General features: G+C 49.5%; 1 long non-coding RNA gene across 2 annotated transcripts in view; it reads right to left on the reverse strand.

The window, feature by feature from the left end:
- LOC101929974 (uncharacterized) overlaps window positions 1-18,836 on the reverse strand; it is a 76,895-nt gene that overhangs the window by 19,741 nt on the left and 38,318 nt on the right. For both annotated transcript variants that reach the window (NR_187798.1, NR_187799.1), the window contains exon 2: window positions 1,587-1,738. This is a non-coding gene — a long non-coding RNA (uncharacterized LOC101929974). The remainder of the gene's footprint in view (window positions 1-1,586; window positions 1,739-18,836) is intronic.

Below are 18,836 nucleotides of genomic sequence, written 5' to 3' on the forward strand. Positions count from 1 at the left end.
GAAAAGAAATGGCTGGGATTGCAAACCATGAGCTTTGTGGCCCTCCAGACCACAGGTGGCTGCAGACTTGGACTGAGAGGCCCCAGAGGCCAGGCAGGAGGGCCCCAGTCTGTCCCAGAACACATGAGTCCAGGCCTGGCTGCTGATCTCCTGATGGTTCCCCCAGCACTGTCTACCTCCCAGAAGCCTCGGTGTCCCCATCTAGATGAGGAGACAGGGGTCTGGACCTCAGAATCAACCAGGAAGGCTCCAGTGGAATGGTGGGAAATGGGAGTGACCCACCCATGCCTTCCCAGCGAGACTCCCAAGAGCCGCTGTGGATCTGGGACTGAAGTCCCCTGGGCAGGGCAGCTGTGGGCTGGGGCAGGGATGGGGGCTGGCCAGGGGGAAGAGGCACGTGGTAAGGATAGTGCCCTGGATGGGGGGATCAGGGCCACTTTGGGAACCAGCCGGGGCAACAGAAGTGTGTCCAGGTGATTTGGGCATGAAAAACAGGATCTGTGGGAAGAACCGAGGGGTCTGTGCAGGGATTTCATGTTCTGGCCCCACATCCTGCTCTGTGTCCGTGAACCCATGAGCACGGGTCCCTTCCCCCAGAGTCCACCCGGCCTCAGCAGGAGGGAAGCAGGGGCAGGTAGTGTGGAGGCCTGAGCCACACTGACCACCCCGCACATACGTGCCCTCTCCAGGCACCCGAGGAGGGGCAGCTCCCCGCAGACAAGGGCTCCACCTGGAGTGACAGCAGCTCTGCCTGGAGCATCCCTGACTCATCTGAAAAGCCACTGATGGGGCCCCACTCAGCGAGGAGGCCGACACTTAGCAGGGACAGGACAGGTGGACGGGGCGCCTGTCTGTGTCCCCATTTACGCCAATGGGAGCTCAGGCATGCACGGCCGCTCCCGGGCTCCTCACCCAGATATAGCCTCAGGACAGCAGGTCTGGGCTTCCCACTGAAGACCCCAAGGGGCAGCGAGCTGGTATAAGAGATAAGGGGAACATACATTTAACTCTTGGCTTTTTACAGTAGCTATTTGCCAAAATTAAAGGAAAAAAAGAATTTTCCTGGGACAGCCAAGGGTGAAACATCCAAGTGGGTTTAAAATCCTCAACATTCCAAGCTGAGAGGCCACGAGGTTCACCCAGGTTCACAGCAGAGCCCAGTAGAGCCACATCCTTCCCAACAGGAAATGCCTGTCCCTGTGAGATCAACTGCAAGATGCCCATAACCACGAGAGAGCGTTTTGCTTCCTTCTCTGCGCGAATCGGCTGCTCCTTCCATCTCACCAGCAGCAAGGTAACAGCAACACCTGAGTGAGTGCCCATGGGTCCCGGGGCTAAGCTGACTCCCCAGCATGTCCCAGGAGGCAGGCGCCCTTATCCCCATTTTACAGATGAGGAGACTGAGGCTCAGCGAGGGTAGAAGGGTCCCCGATTCCCACACTCAGAATTGGTGGAGCCCGAGTCAGCCCGAGTCCATCTGACCCTGGAGCCGCCCCTGCTCAGCCCTGGGCCCCGCCCACCAGGGCACAGCCAGTTTGTGAAGGATTTTAACAGAAAAGCCACAAATCTGATGTGAAGACGCCTACCTGAGAGACGGTGAGCCGAGGGGTGACCCGGGGCAGGGAGCAATGAAGCCCCTGGAGCAGGGCCCAGGGAGCCGGGCCGAGGAGAGTCTGGGAGGTGCATCAGCCTCTGGGACTCTTAGGAAGCTCCAACGATGACACCGGCCGTCCCTCACCTGAAAATGCACAGGCTGCGTCACGTGGGAGGGAGGAGTGACTGTTTCTGAGAGCGAGGAGCCTCCTAGTGCACAGAATGGGTCAGCCGCTGAGCAAATGCTGCATTGCAGGCCTGGCCCTGTGTGACTCTGGGGAACATTCTGGCCGCCAGTGCACATCTGAGGCCAGCTCTCCCCTCCAGCTATTTGATCCAGGGCAGAAACTGATCACACCCAAGCCCAGAGGCCCCGAGGATATCGCAGAGACCCCGAGGAAATCGATCGAAACCAGACTCATTTCCACGGTTCAGGAGCTTGTCACTGCTCCTGACCTGCTGCTGGGTCCTCCTGGGTGCTTCAGGCTGGAGCAAGGAGCACGGGCGGCTCCGGAGGCTCTGGAGGGGGAAGGAGCCACCCAGAGCCCGGGGGAGCAGGAGCAGCGTGAACAGTGACTTGGGGGTTATTTGTTGGGTGCCCTGCAGACTTGGCTCTGTAGGGAAACAAGCCCCAGAGATGCCCAGGTCCTGGTCCGTGACAAACGCGCACTGTGTGTGTAAGTGGGAACCAGCCGGGACGTGCTAGGCTGCCCTGCGGTAACAAACATCCCCGATCCCAGCTGCTCACGAAGGGAAAGGCTCGCCCCCGCTCACGCTCTTCGTCCATTGTCCCTTGGCTGGGCGTCTCGTCCTCGCCATCTGCACTTCCTGCTGCTCAGAGGGAGGGAGAGAGAACGTGACGAATAACTCATGAAGCACTAAAGCTGCTGCCCAGAAGCCACGCCCCTCACTTCCTCTCCAGTTTTATGGACAAAGGCAGTCGCATGGCCCAGCCTGATGTCAGTGGTGGGGAAGGTCCTCTGACACGGAGGGGCTGTGAGTGTTTATGAGCAGCCGTGCTGTGGGCTGTGCCAAGCGTTGTCTCTTCCCTCTCCCTGGTGAGCCCACGCCAGTGCATCTCTGCTGAGGGGGCCCTTCCTGCTCTTAGACTTGTCTTTTGGAAAAGGCTCCAGAACTCCTCAGGCAAGACCGTGTGACTTCCCCAAGCCTAAGCCAATCAGGGCATTTATTCCACCAGCCACTGTGATTGGCTGAGGGATGGACATGTGACCCAATCCGACCCAGTGAGATCCAATGAGATGATTGCAGGGAATGCTGGGACGGAGGCAGGTGGCTTCCCAGTGGACCTGAAGCTGAGACAATGTGAGGTCCGGAGGGGCTGCAGCCATTTTACATCCATGAAGGAGGAGCCTGTCAGAGAAAGGAGTCAACGTGAAAGGAGCAAGGAGACAGTGGTGTGGGGAGAGAGGCATCGGGCCCTGATGGCGCCATGGAGCCTGAACCCAGTCTTGCAGGAGCCAGCGGTAGCCCTGGACTGTGCAGGAGCTTGAATCCGAAATCCCCTGGTTAAAGTTGGCTTTTCTGTCACTTGTATCCCAACGAGTTCCAGCTGCTCAGAGCACTTAGGGCCCTGTCTGGCCTTCCTCACGACACAAGACAGGGACAGGGGAAGGGTCCTCTGACACGGGGTGACCTCCTCCCAGGCTCGGGCCATGGACTAGCATGAGACTTCGGAGCTCAACCCTGGATTCTGATGGCCTGGGGTGAAGTCCGGCCTCTCCTCTTGCTCACTGTGCAACTTCTACCTCACTTTACTTATGTTCAATTCAGGAACATAACAGAACACACCTCATAGGGCTGCTGTGAAAATGCAGGGGATTAGACAAGTAAATTCCTGGTGCCTGTAAGGGGTCAAATAATGTCAGCTGGGCTGTCCCTATGTCCCCAATACCCAGCCCAGTGTCTGGAGTGGGAGCGCCTCAGGACATGTGTGACGAGGGTGTGGGATGAGATCACATAAGGGCTGTAAACCCCCTGTGAGGAGGAGGATCCCAGAGGACAAGGGAGCAAGGGTCCCCTGGAAGGTGTAGGTCAGGAGCTGATGATCAAGGAATAGTGGGATGAAGATGGAAAGAGGGAGGTGGGGAACAGAGGATTGTCCCACTGACCAGCCATGAGGACAACTGGGAGGGGCTGGCCAGAGTCACAGTTGAGGATTCCCTATCACGAAGCAAATGTACAAGGACCACAGTGGCATGATATGGCATGATGTGTTATGACATATCACCCAGTGAGGGAGGGTGGTTGTGAAATATCATGGACTGCCTTCTCTCCTACTTGGTGAAAAAATTATTTGAATATCATTTCATTAAATTAAGACTGGAAGGAGAGCTATCAAAATACTACTAGTGAGAGTGAGTGACCAGATTTTTTCTTCTGCTATTTTAGGCAAAAAATTATCTAGTTTTAATTTCACCCTATCTGAACATATTCCCTTTGTAAATCTCCGAATAGTGCATATATATTTTTAAAAAGAGGGCTGGGCACCGAGGCTCATGCCTGCAATCCCAACACTTTTTGAGGCCAAAGCAGGATGATCTCTTGAGTCCAGGAGTTTGAGACCAGCCTGGGCAACATAGAGAGACCTCATCTCTAATAAAAATCAAAAAAATTAGCCAGGCATGGTAGCGTCTGTAGTCCCAGCTACTTGGGAGGCTGAGGGGGAAGGACTGCTTCAGCCCAAAGGGTGAAGGCTGCAGGGTGCCAGTATGGAGTCACTGCATTCTAGCCTGGGTGACAGAGTGAAACCGTATCTCAATAAAAACATTTTTAAATAAATTAAATAAAATTAAAAAAAACAAGTGAATCAACACACAATGAAAAATGACCTCACTTTCTCAAATAAATCAATGACATATAGAAAAGACATTTGGGAGGCCGAGATGGGTGGATCACCTGAGGTCAGGAGTTCGAGACCAGGCTGGCCAACATGGTGAAACTCTGTCTCTACTAAAAATACAAAAATTAGCCAGGTGTGGTGGCGGGTGCCTGTAATCCCAGCTACTCGGGAGGCTGAGGTGGGAGAATTGCTTGAACCGGGAGGCTGCAGTGAGCCGAAACCACACCGCTGCACTCCAGCCTGGGTGACAGAGTGAGACTCCATCTCAAAAAAAATAAAAATAAAGTAAAATAAAGAAAAAAAAAGAAAAGACATTTAGTAAAAGAAAGGAGGAAGGGGTGACTGTGATGATGACGATGATGATGGTAATGGTGGTGGTGATGGTAATGGTGGTGATGATGGTAATGGTCATAGTGATGATGGTAATGGTGGTGATGATGGTAATGGTGGTGATGATGGTAATGGTCATAGTGATGATGGTAATGGTGGTGATGATGGTAATGGTGGTGATGATGGTAATGGTGGTGATGATGGTAATGGTGATAGTGATGATGATGGTGAAGTTAATAGTGATGAAGGAGATCTTGATGATGACAAAGATAATGATGATAATGTTGACGGTAAATAACAGAATGATAATGAAGAGAATGACAATATAACAGTGACCATGACAATGACAATGGTGGGCAAGATGGTGATAATGAGGATGATGATGATAATGGTAATATTGGGGAATAACAAGGAGATCAGAATAAAATGCTTGAACTCCTCCCCCTTTGCCTTCCAGACCTCCATCCTCAACTCCATTCCCATCTATATCCTTTCATTTCCCCGAGGCAACAGAAAAACAGGGCATGCACTCGGCACCCACGTCCCATCCATGAACTCAGGCAACCTGCTCGCAAGCTAGAACCAATGTTGTACTAAGGCCTTACAGGGCTGTGGCAAGAGGCACAGGCTCTGGTTAAATTAGACTTGGGTGTGGATGCAGGCCCCACTATCAGGAGCTGAGCCTAGATCCCGCCTCTGTAGAATGGGGATAATCATCATACCTTGCCACAGGATGACCTTAAATACATATCAGAAGATGCATAAAACACACTGAGTCAGCATCTGGCACACGTGCACACACACACACACACACACACACACACCAGAGAAATGATGCTCACATGGCCTTCCCTCCCCTCCGCCTGTAATTCTTCCGTCATGAATGTCAGTAGGGAACCACTGCAGATCCTGGAACAGGGGCTGTGCATGCTGCATCTTGTACATGTATTCCCTTCTCCCCTGCCCTGTAGAAAAGCACCCTTAACTTTTCACCCTCCCAGGACAGGGCAACAGCACCCACTGCCTGCACGACCAGGATCTGAGGAACTGACCACCCTCTGAGGATAGCTCCTCCCTTCTGAAGCCAGGGATACATCCCCATTAACCACAGGGAGGGCGTTCTCTGCTATAGGCAGGGAGGGGACTGTTTATAGACTGAGAGTTCATGCTGGTTTATGTCATTAATAAAATGCTGCAATTACATAAAGCTATAATAAAGAAGCTGTTAACCTTATTGTGTTGGAAAATTTTTCCAGCAATCTACTGAGGAGATTCGATAAAATCATACACTGTCTGCCACTCATGTGACAAACATCACACTAGATAAGAGACATTCTGCCTTCAGGGAAATGGACACTATTTTATTTCTATTTAAAAACTAATTTTAATTACACAGAGATGCATGAACATATTCCTGGTCCACCATCTTGGGAAACTAATTTTCAGTTTCTTACACCCATGTAAGAACATTTTCCCCTCTAAAGCTAACGCATAACTCCTCCAATCTAACCACACCTCACGAAACCCTTGTAACCTGTGGCCTCTGTGGCGAACCTCTGCCACCCTGTGCAGTGGTCTTACAAACACACTGATGCATGCACAGAAGCATATGACGCATCTGACAACACAACGGAGATCTATCTGCTGACATTTTGGCTGGGATGGCTGCCACTTTTCCACCCGACAAGGCCTCACTGGCAATGCTCTGGCTGTGATATTGGACCATCATTTTGCCAGAAGTTACTACTGGGGAAACTGGGTAAAAGTTGCAAAAGGTCCTGCATTACTTCTTACAACAGCACATGAATCTACAATTTTCTCAAAATCAAATTTTGAATTGAATATATATGATCTTTCATTGTTTACACACATATATTTGACTTGCCTGAAATGTATGCTTGGTTCATTGGGCCTGTGAGTCAGGCACAATCAAAACCCTGCATTCCCCTGGCCACAATTATAGGAACACAGATGGATGTGTGGCCAAAACCAGACCTTTGGGAGACAAGGAAACTAAAATTTGAAACTCTGGTTTTGAAGGACTGGAGAAATCAAGCACCTCCCCTTCCAGCAGGGTTCCTGAGAGGCTGAGATGCAAGCCTCACGACCCCTAGAAGGTATCTTGACACCACAGTGAGGGATTCTGTCTGAGGAAGCAGCCAATACAGAGGAAGCACAGTAAGAGGCAACAGGAGAGAATTACGGAGATCTCCTGGATCCAGCCATGCCTGAAGATAAACTATCCCTGAGTGGTTATTTGCATCAACAAACAATGGTGTTTAAGCCAATTCTAGAGATTTCTGCCACTTAGAAGTGCAAATAAATTCTCATTACACTGTTGCAGCTCATCACCAACATGAAGTAGAGCCAAGAGGTGTAAAGAGCCTTCAGAGACCTAAGTTGCTCTCCTGGATTCAGCCATGCCTGAAGCTGACATACCTATGGATTGTTATATGTCAAAAAACTTTCCTTCTTACTGAAGCCAATTTGAGTTGGGCTTTCCGTCACTTACAATGGAAAAACTCCTGATTACCCTGCTGTATCACAGTGATTTACACACAGTCAGCATCAGTGAATACTTGGTGAATAATTGATGAATAAAAGAATGAATGCAAATGAACACGTTTGACTACTGCAAGATGCACTCTTGCTGAGCACTCAAGTGGGGACAGAAAAAGGCTCTGGAAGGTCCCAGCAGATGCTATCTGCAGGTGGGAGGCTCGGGAGTGGTCTCCGGAGATGACATGTGAGCAGGGACTTCACAGAGGGGATGTTTCTATGGTGGGGACTCCAGACAAGCAGGCAGCAGGAGCGAAGGTGCTGGGGCTGGTGTGCAGGACAGCAGGGAGTCTGGGCACCATGGCAGAGGGTGTGTGAGGATGAGAGGAGGACGAAATGGGTGGGGTAAAGGCCTGGGTGTCCTGGTGAGGGGCATGTCTGCACCACGGTCCAAGGAAAGAGGGGTCACTGCAGGTGCTTCACCATGAAGGGACAATGCAGGGATTTGCATGGAAAGCTGAGAAGGCAAAAGGCAGCTTGTGAGGTGAGGATCAGCCAGCACAGCAACCTGTCACTGACCCTGGGGTAGACCATGAGAGGGAGTAGGGTCCCCAGCTCAACAGGCCACAGCGGGGACTGAAGCCATGGGGGAGATGCAGCCACTGCAGAGGGAGGCGCCCTGGGTCCTCCTGCCCCCACCCTCCACCACAGCCCCCCACCACTAATCCAGGCAGACACCAGCCCAGTCAGAGCCTGGGAAATGTGGCCTACCGGGGTGAGCCCAGAGACTCGTGGGAAGGGGGATGAAGGGGCCTGAGGACAAGCAGGCCAGGGCAGCCCCAATGTCCCTCCAGACCAACCCTGAGTCCAAGAGACTTCCAGAAGCCCCTCGTGGTGCTGCTCTGAAAACACCACGCTTCAGGAATGAGACAGTCGGCTCTTAGAGAAGCATCATTCCTCATCAGAGCAACAGGAAATGTAGTTCAATAACCAAAACTCAATCTCTTTTAGTCTAGACATAAATAATGAGATTTCATAGAATTCTAATTTCAAGTGCAATATATTACACAATTACTATCCCTCTAATGTGATTTTATTCCTTTGAAATGTATTCGTGGATAGATTTGGCCTGGGTATAAATCTGTGTTTACAGCTGGATCACGGGCACAGGCTGATGTCCCCTGTCTCTATGCCCAGTCCCCTGCTGCTGCACAAATGGCACGTATCACATTGTGCTAACCTGGGTCGCAGCAGGTAGCCTGCCCGCAATGTCCTGTCGAGGGCAAAAGTGCCTCCAGCAAACACACTGCCCATGGTCCTGCACTGGGCTCTAGCAGCCCCAGCTGAAAAGCCATTAGCATTTGAGCCACATGGATCTGCGGCCCTCAGCAAGTGGGCCGAGTGACCCTCCCGGACAGAGGCTGGAACGCCTACATTTCACCTGGCCTGGAGCCATGACACTCATTACAGGACCCATTCTCCAGAACCCCAAGGTCACGGGCTTGTGGATATTCAATTTCACTTTCAAGGTCTAGTGGTGAGTGAGGGACCAAAGTCAGGCAGGCTCGGCTCCTTCTTGCAGATCCAGGGAAATAAGAAAGGGGATGTTCTGGGGTGAAGTCACCCCACCCCTGCTTGTGTGTTTGTGGTTCTGTGCGCCTGTGTAGACGGTTGTTTCTGGGTTTGTGTGTGTGTGCATGTGTGTCTAAGTTTCACCTGCAGGTGTGTGTGTCTGGGTCTTTTCACAGGTTTTGCATGTTTGTCTTGTCAGAGATGTGTTTTCTCTGGATACGTGCTGGCCTGTCTCGCCCGTCTGCAGTCCAGCAGCAGGATGGATAAAGGATGAACCCGATCATCTCACTCCCTGGTCACATCCCTCCCATGGCTTCTGCATCATCGGGTTCTTTGCTGTAACCACAGAAGACCACCCGTCCAGCTGCATTAAGCAGGAGTAGCTCATTACAGATCACACTTCTCTGACTCCCATTATACACAAATCCCCAGGGGTCTTGATAAAATGCAGACCCCGACTCAGCAAGTCTGGCTGGGATATGAGATAGTGCATTTCCAACAAGACCCAGAGGCAGCGAATTCCTTGGGGCCAGTGTGGACATCAGGAAGGTCCCGACGCTTCATGGGGGCAAAGACTCCATGGCTACAAATGTCCAGCCCACAACAAGGGCTGCTCCAAGGAAGGCCACTCAACCTGACCCCACAGCTCACTCTGCTGGCCCCGGGAGGGGACATCAACCTTCTTCCTTCCCACTCCCGCTGAGTCCACCAGCCCTGCCAGCCCCAGTGCCCACACAGGGATCCACACAGCTGCCATCTTCCTCCAGTTCTTTTCCTGGGCAAAGGCTCATGGGAGGTTTCTGATTAGTTAAGCCTGAGTCACATGAGGGGGCTCAGGTCACATGAGGGGCCTGGCCGCAAGGGATGCTGGGAAATAGAGTCTGGTTTCCCCCTTGGAACTGTGACAGACACCATGAGGGATGTGTGCCCATAGGAAGGGCGCTCACAGGGACCATTAGAGGCCATAAAACGCCCACGACAGCTTCACCCAAACCCTGAACTCAGAGAAGATGGGCCTGAACTCGGCCCATCCCAATGGCCTTGGTCTAGAATATTCTCCCCCCACATCTCTATGCAGGCCTTAGCCCAAATATCACCTTCTCAGAGAGCTTTCCTGACCATTCCAGTCATTTCAGAATATGATACCCAAATCCAAGGCTGCGGCCCTGAGAAAACTGCCCAGAAGTTTCCCCAATGCCCCACCCCCTTTCAACACAAAACTAAAATGACTTTCCTGGGCCAGCCCAGCGAGGCACGGTGACACCAGTGGATCTGGCCCATGGACGCTCCCAGGCATCTCCCATACAGAGGCAGGGGTCCTCCCAGAAGAAGCGTTCTGGAGATCAAGCTGAGTCTGTGCTGCTGTGTCCACATGCGCGGCTCCTTCAGAAGTCTGGTTTCTTTGCCAGTGCCTTCTCTGCTGGTGTGGTCAGTGTTCTTGGCCCCAGCATTCAACAAGAATCCACTGTCCATGCACGGCACTTTTAAAGGGTCTGCCCTCAACCAACGCAAATGCTGTTGGCAATACAGGTGCCCAGGGTGGGGAGGAAGCCTCAGGATTGGGGTCTGTGGGGTCTGTCTGCCTGCCTGCCTGCCTGCCTGAAGCAGGGTGAAGGAAATACTCTTCCGTATTTGAACGGCAAATCATTTCTCCATGCTCAAAAAAAATGAGCCCAGTAATTCAGGGAAGGAAGGAAGATAGAGGCCAGTGGTGTTGGGCATGCTGGGGCTCTCAGCTGCTGCGTGTTGTGGGCGGGGCTGTGGTGAACACAGTGAGTCCATCCCCACAGCCACTCTCAGGAACAGCAGAACAACCATCTGACATCTCCTGCATGAACCGGAGACCTCTAGCTGGTGTGTCTCAGGCTCTGGCAGGATGTATCCAGGGGCCTGGAGACCCTCCGTGTGCAATGAACGGATCAGACTTGAAGAGCAGGGACAGTGGGTGGAAGAGATGCCTGCTGGGACTGAGCCACAGTGGACGCCTGGGGTGGTGCTGGATGCTAAGGGACTGCTGGGGGCTCCCCTCATCTGCCCATGCACTCACTCCCTTACTAGGTTTGGGTAAAGTGAGCCATGTCTCAATAATGTGGAGGGTGGAATGGATGGGGTTGGGGAGAGAAAGAGAAGGGAGTGGACAGAGGGGGAAGTCGCAGCATCACCCAGGCGAGTGGACAGTAAGTCTGGAGACAAGTGGGAGCCATGAAGATGGAAACCAGGGATGGGGAGGGGGAAGATGACGGCAGAGCTGTTGGTGATATGGCAGTCGGGTGCTGGGCAGGGAAGGGCATGGTCCCTTTAAATGATATGGAAGTGGGAAAGTGCTGGGTAGAGGAGGGCATGGTCCCTGGCCCCATGGAACTAGGTGAGGACAGGCATTTCCTGCCCAAATGTTGCATTTCCCAAGACCACCCTGGCCTGCCATGCCCCCATCCTATGCCTATAAAAACCCAAGACCCTAGCAAGGCAGACACACAAGTGGCTGGACGTCGAGAGGAGCACATCCGCGGAGGAACACACGGGTGGCTGGACGTCGAGAGGGACGCACTGACAGGCACCAGCAAGCCACAGGCCACCAACCGGCAGAATGATGTGGAGTTTGGCTGGGGCAGTTGGAGGACAGCCCAGACCCCAAGCGGCCCAACTCCAGGGGAAAATCATCTCCCTTCTGGCTCCCCCATCTGCTGAGAGCTACTTCCACTCAATAAAACCTTGCACTCATTCTCTAAGACCGTATGTGATTTGATTCTTCTGGTACACCAAGGCAAGAACCCTGGGATACAGAAAGCCCTCTGTCCTTGCGATAAGGCAGGGGTCTAACTGAGCTGACCACCACAAGCCACCTACAGACACCTAAACTAAAAGAGCACCCTGAAACACATGCCCACTGGAGCTTCAGCTGTAAACATTCACCCCAGACACTGCCGTGGGGTTGGAGCCCCACAGTCTGCCTGACTGTATGCTACCCTAGAGGTTTGAGCAGCGGGGCACTGCAGAAGCGAGCACCCCCTCATCACGCACCTGCGAGGGGAACAAGGGAACTTTTCCCATTTCACTGGAATGATGGAGGAGTCAGAGGTCACCCAGTGTTGAGCTTAACAGAATTAAAGGTCAAAGCATAAAGGACACATGAATCTCAGTTCTTTAAGTAAGACTCTCTCTTTCCTGCCTATGAGCTTCCTATCAGAATAGACGTCTCTTTAGTTGGTTGACTGAATAAAGTTGGGGAAAGTGGCGAATCATGAAAAAAATAAGATCTATACTTCTTAAAAATATTTTCACACAATGCATGGAAATGTACAATTGTTTGTCAATGTTTTCAGTATGGGTTTCGTAACTAGAAGTCTACTCACTTTCTCTTCCATCAACCACAGCCACAGTATGGTACTCAGGAATCAGAGTTTTAGAGGTTTTTGTTTGTGTTTTTCAACAAAGCAACTAAACCTATAATTCCAGTACAAAATCCTCCAGTAATTATACCTAGTTCTCTACAGTTGCTTCAACTACATTTAAGACAAAAGAATTTTTTTTAGTATGTCTGTTAAGTAAACCTACTGCTTTCAATTTAGGTTTCATAGAAATAACCCTATTTTGCCCTCTTATCTCATTGACATATGATGCTTTATTAAAGCACCTAAATTCAGTAACACACACAACCGGCATAAGCAAAACTTAGGAATTAGGCATGCTGACTCCTGGCCAACCAGTACCCTCCCTGGTAGGAAGAGACGTGGCTGGGAATGGAGAGGGACTGACCCCATACATGGTCACATGCCCTGGGCTGTGGTCAGCATGTGCAGAGGGAACAGAAAGTCAGTGTTGGGGGGTTGCTATGTGAATATCAACCAAGGAACCTTCCACTAAGTTATTATTATATGGTACACAGAGGGATCCTGCCACACTCATGTGATTAGTAAGTCCAAATGTATATACCCAAAAACACAGAGAGAGAGAGAGAGAGAGAATGTAATTTGAACTGTTCAGCTAATTCAAGTCGAGGAGCCCAATCCCCCAAATGGCGAGGAGCTGAGGGACGAGCCCAATCCCCCAAGTGGAGAGGAGCTGTCCCCTCATCTGTCTCTCCAGGGGGTGAACATCTCACCATTCAGAAGCTGGTCTTGATGTTTAAAACGAAGTTTTTCATTCAAAATGGCCCTACAAAAAGGAAGCTACTTCATCTGATACTAGACAGAAAACAATGCAATCTGCTCCAATGCCAGGCAATGGTGCTGTTTAAAGGCCCTGAGTGTAAACGTAATCCCTGAGTGATATATGGTTCAACTGCATTGTCCATATTTTTATAGCCCCCACATATTGTGTGTCACCATCCCACTGTGCCACATTCTGGGTATTAAGGACCCAACTTGGAGTGGGGCACACTTGTGTGGGAATCCTGGCTCTCTCCTTTGCCGGATGTGTGGCCTCTGCCGGATGCATGGCCTTTGTCAACTCTATACCCTCTCTGTGCCTTGGTTTCCTCAAGTAAAATGTGGATGATAACAGAACGTACCTCACTAGGCAAGGATTAGATGAGATAATCCATCTAAGGCCTTTAGCACAAGGCCTGCCACACAGTAGGTGCACAATAAATGCTGTGGTTATTAACTTCAAGTTCACAAGATGGACTCTGCAGTAAAGGATGCAGAAATAATTATTTAATTTGTCATGCCTTGTTCCAAGGCTTTTGTGAATAAAGCACTGCATTTGAAGGCTTTTATCAAATACTTTCTCATCTGTCTCATTACTAGGACCCTGGATGCAAATATTTCTTCCTGTTGAATGTACATTTTTATTCCTCTCCTGGCTGCATTAACCTGTCTTTCTTATCACTCTGGTCCTAATGCTTCAACCTAGACCTTAGAAGAATGACAGCAACAGGAACTATCATTGCATTTTTTCCTTTAGATTAAAATTGATTTTTTGATTTTATACAATCTTGCCTTTCACACATGCCTATGGGTTATTAACATTTAGTCAGAACATCTGTTTCATTTCTATACCCCATTTCCTCTGCCTACCAATTGGAAGAAAAATCTCCTGAGTTTTCCATCAACTCACTTTAGGTAATTTTTGATTTATCCCTGAGTGAGAGCTGAAATTGCTCAGCCTTCCCTAGTGTTCCCTCAAGCTCTTGTGTCAGCCAATAGCAGCTTTCTCTCCCTCCTCTTTGCCTTCTCTTTCTCACACTCGCTCATACAAAGCAAACTTAACTGACCCCAAATGCAAAGGAACATCTCTCCAGGATCTCTGTCTTAGCTCAGGTTGCTATAAGAAAATATCACAGACTGGGTGGATAAGCAACAGAAATATATTCCTCGCAGTTCTGGAGGCCAGAAGTATGAGATCAGGGTGCCAGCAGGGTGAGGGCTCTACCAGGTTGCAGACAGCAGACTTCTCACCATTCCCTTGCACGGTGGAAACTTGCTGAGGTCTCTTTTAGAAGGGCACTAACCCCATTCATGAGGATTCCACCTGCATGACCTCATCACTCCCCAAAAGGCCCCACCTCCTAATACCATCCCCGTGGTGGTGGTTAGGATTTTAACTTATGAATTTAAAGAGACACAAACATTCATTCCACTGCAGAACCTAATTTATAACACTGGGGCAAAGTCAAAATAAAATACCCTCCTCCCCCTGTATTCAGATGGTGCCGACTTCATCCTGCACCATCCCACTGTCTCTGCTCCCCGAGTCTCTGACATGTGAGCTGATTTGCAGGACTTGATCTTCCCACTGATGCTCATACCCAGCACCCAGGGGAGGGCCTGGCCAACAATCCACACTCAGGAAAGATCAGGTGAAAGAGTGAATGTCAGAGAAGTGGAGGACGGGCCCAGGTTCCCAGAACCATTCCGCCATGTCCTTGTCACAGACACAGACTGGTACACAGGCTCCAAATCATCATAAGAACTCAATGTGGGCTCTTTCCAGGAAGTCGTCACCTGCCACAGGTCACAGACAATGTTCTAGGATCCATACCAGAGCTGGTACAGCTGGTGATCACCAGAGAAGCTGAGAGAAATTGCCCAACTACTCTATAAATAATAGTGTGTGATTCAGACCTGCCAGTGAAAGAAAAAATGACCCCCTCCCTGAGAACCTTTCAAAAATATCAGAAGATCACAGCAAGCAAAGCACAGTTTCTTAACAAAATCAATCTTTCAGTGTATCATTTCACAGTTAGGACACAAAAAGCACAAACATGACATTCTCGATAGAAAATAAAAACACTTCAGCAGATCACACACTTTCCAACCTGTTTCTTTGCCCCAGCATTTCTAGGAAGTCGTTCTGCTGATCCTCTGCCAAGTTTGCTAAGCAAATGGCAGCGTCAGCACTCTGCTAAGTGGGTAATTCGCTCTCAGGATTCCAGTTCACAGTGGTGGTTATTTGGGGCTGACTCACCCTGTTCTAGCTTTCAGGATACTGGTGAGCACTGCCAACGTTCTCTCCTGGGCAGCTGGACGCATCCTTCTCAGCACATCTATTTCTATTCTCCATCCTAAGGTCAGCTCTCCCCACCCAATACCTTGCACATACACTCCTGGCCTCAGGTGGAGCTGCCTTCCAGTCTCTGCAAGCTGAAGGGCAGCTTTCCTTTACTTCCAGAACCATAACCACCTGTATTACATTCCCACTACGGCCCTAACAAATCACCACAAACTTAGTGGCTTAGACAACACAAATATATTTTCTTGCAGTTCTGTAAGTCAGAAGTCCGATGTGGACCTCACTGGACTAACATCAAGGTATCCACAGGCTGTTTTCCTTTCTGGAGCCCCTAGGGGAGGATCATTTGCTGGTGTACTCAGGTTGCTGGCAGAATTCCCTTGTGGTTATCGAACTGAGATCCCTGTTTCCTCGTTGGCTGGCTGGCTCAGGGCCTTCCCAACTTCTAGGGGCCATGTGCATGCCTTGGCACCCTCCTCTACCTTCCAGGCCAGCAATAGGGTGAGGTTCTCAAACAGTCTCTCTTGCTTCTGGCTCATCTCTCTGACCCAGCTGAGAAAGTTATCCTATTTTAGGGACTCACGTGATGACACTGGGCTCACCTAGACACGGGCTCACCTGGACACTGGGCTCACCTGGACAACCCAGGATGCTCTCCCTATCTCAAGGTCCAAACCCCTCATCGCATCTGCAAAGCCTTTTATCCTATGTGAGGCGACATATTTATAGGTTGCAGAGATTAGGGTCTGGGCATATTTGGGGGCCATTGTTCTGCCAAACACACCAGGATGGACTTGAATCAAGGGTTGCTGAGAGCAGCAGCTGTGTGAGCTTGCCTAAGGACAGCCCAAAGCCAGGGTGAGAAGGGGGCTGCAGACTGAGCCCCAGGCTCTTCACCTTCCCACTCCTGCCTACCAACTGTGCTAATTTCACCTTTGACACATTCCATTATAGAAAGAATTGCAGTATTTTAATTGTCTATTAACCAGAATACCTTTGACAATTCCCAGGCATGGTCAAAAGTAAAGTTGAAGAAATCCATTTACTAGTCAGAAACACACACTCTGCTAACTCACAAAGCACTGAAATAAATGTCACTAAATTCTGCAGTGAATTCACCATCAGGTGCTAATCAAGCATGAAAATTTAATTCCTAAGAGGAATCTTTTAATAAAGTCATGTGTGACTGAAAATGAGGGGGCTAATGAAATTATTTTGGGGACAGTGTCTGGACATTTTACACACAAATGCTGCTCATTGGAAGTTATTTGAATATTCCATTGCCAACAGATGATAGAAAGAGAGATTTTCTAATGCTATAAGGCAGGAATGAAAAGACCCACAGAAGGCATCTGCAGTTTGGGGCTACTGAAATGACGGATAAATATTCACAGCCCATCATCCTGGGGCTGCCAAGGAAGAATTTAGATAATGTGACTCTCGAGATTTTACTGGTATTTTCCCAATTCTGGAATGTTTTCCTTTTATAAAATCCATGATTCTACAGCAGTGCTGCCTTCATGTTCAGGCCCAAAACTGTAGACTTCATCCATTACCTCCCTCATCATCTCACGCCCCATGTCTAATTTCCTCTAGGTCCTACAAGGTCTGCCTGTAATATATGTCATCTTAGTTTCTGCCCTCCCAGGAACAGGCAGGCCCGGGACAAAGATTCAGGACGAGCAGTGTATTTGGTAGGTGACCCCAGGAAACACTGGTAAGAGAAGGGAGAATGGGGCAGGATGAGGCGGCAGTTAGCAAAGAATTTGTTTCCAAGTGTTACCTCTGTGGCAACCAGAGCTTTATCCCACTGGGAAATCTGAGAATCCAGGTAGGACACAGGCCTCAGAGTTATCCTCCTCCCACGGATGAGGGAGTTGGGGTACTGATACACCAATTCCCATCAGTCATCGGGGGAGGCTGTTCCTGGAGGGTGTCAAAAGCCAGCACTTTCTGTTTGTCATGCAAGTGAGGATGCAGTTGGAGGAAGGTTTGGAGAGTAATGGGCTATGTTCACAACCTTGATTGTGATGATGGTTACATGGGTGTGTGCATGTGTCAAACCTTATCAAGCTTCATCAAACTTAATGTGCAGATTATTACATATCAATTACCCTTAATAAATGTGGTTTTGATAAAACCCCAAGGGATTCTCATGGGAATCAGAATAAAAACCCAAACCCTTTACTTCAGGCTGCTGCTCCTCATAGCACCTGGCCCCACCTACATTGCTTCCCACATCTCTAATGAAATTTTCTCTTCTCTCCACACTCCAGCCCAGGTCCCACCTTAGCTCGTTTGTTCTTGCCATTTGCTCTTCCTGCAATACTTTTCCCCAACACCTCAGCTTGACTGTGAACTCCCAGAAAGCTCCCCTTGACCATTCTTTCTAAATTAGCATTCATGTACATACACACACATAAAAACACAAACCCCTACACACTCACACATGTATACCTACAAACACCTCCACACTTACGGATACACACATACCCCTACAAATTCACATATATGCATACACACCTACTTACAAGTCCACACACACAAACTGCACTTAAGTTTGCACATAAACACACATCTACACACTTACACACACATGCACAGACACACACTACCTACCGCTACCCTGCATCACTGTCCTCAGAACACACATCACCACCTGGAATCATTGTGTCCATGATTCTGTTACTTGCTTATTGTCAGCCTCTGCCCCTATAACATTAACTCATCAGGGCAGGAACCGTGTCTGACCTGTTCAGTGTCTCATCCCCACTTTCCAGAACATTCCCCAGCATGTGGTAGGTGCTCAATGAATAGCTGTTGGATGATAAATGAGGCTTCAACAAGGTCCAGGAGTGTACCAGTGACCCCACACCCTGGGAATGAATGAGATGAACCACATCCACTCAATACCATCCTCATGGTTCCCAGAGTGTCCTCCTTTTCCAATTCTTTGTACCCACCAATCACAGCCTCCCACTGATGACTGATGGGAATTGGTGTTATCAGTTACCCATGTTAACTTATAAATGTAGACACTGACCAGCGGCAGATGTACTAGTAGAGACCCATCCTATCTTCCCCATTAAATACAAGACCATGGCCAATTCTGGAACTTAGATTCTTCATCTTTAAACAGGGATAACATCATACCTGTCTTATAGGCCAGTGTGAGGATTCATGGAGACCAGGCAAGGCATATGAGTGCCTTGTCCTCCCGACACACAGCAAGCTCTCACCAATATGGGTCATTTTCACACATCAGTCTGAGGCCTGTTCCTCAGAGCCTGTGGGGCAGATTTTCATGTGATCACTCTAGATAGGGAGTGTGCACCATCCCAGTGATTAATGGAAACCACTCATGTTAACTTATGAATGTAGTCACTGACCAGTGGCAGATGTGGAATGGTTCTGTGTAGAGTCTGAATGTGATTCTGAATATTGGTTTTATTTGATCTCTTCTGAATGTATTTCTACAGTGTATACCTTTAAATGTGTATGTCTTCTTTTAAATTCATACAGTGCCAAC

Source organism: Homo sapiens, chromosome 12 (assembly GCF_000001405.40).
Source record: "Homo sapiens chromosome 12, GRCh38.p14 Primary Assembly".
NCBI classification, from domain to species: Eukaryota; Metazoa; Chordata; class Mammalia; order Primates; family Hominidae; genus Homo; species Homo sapiens.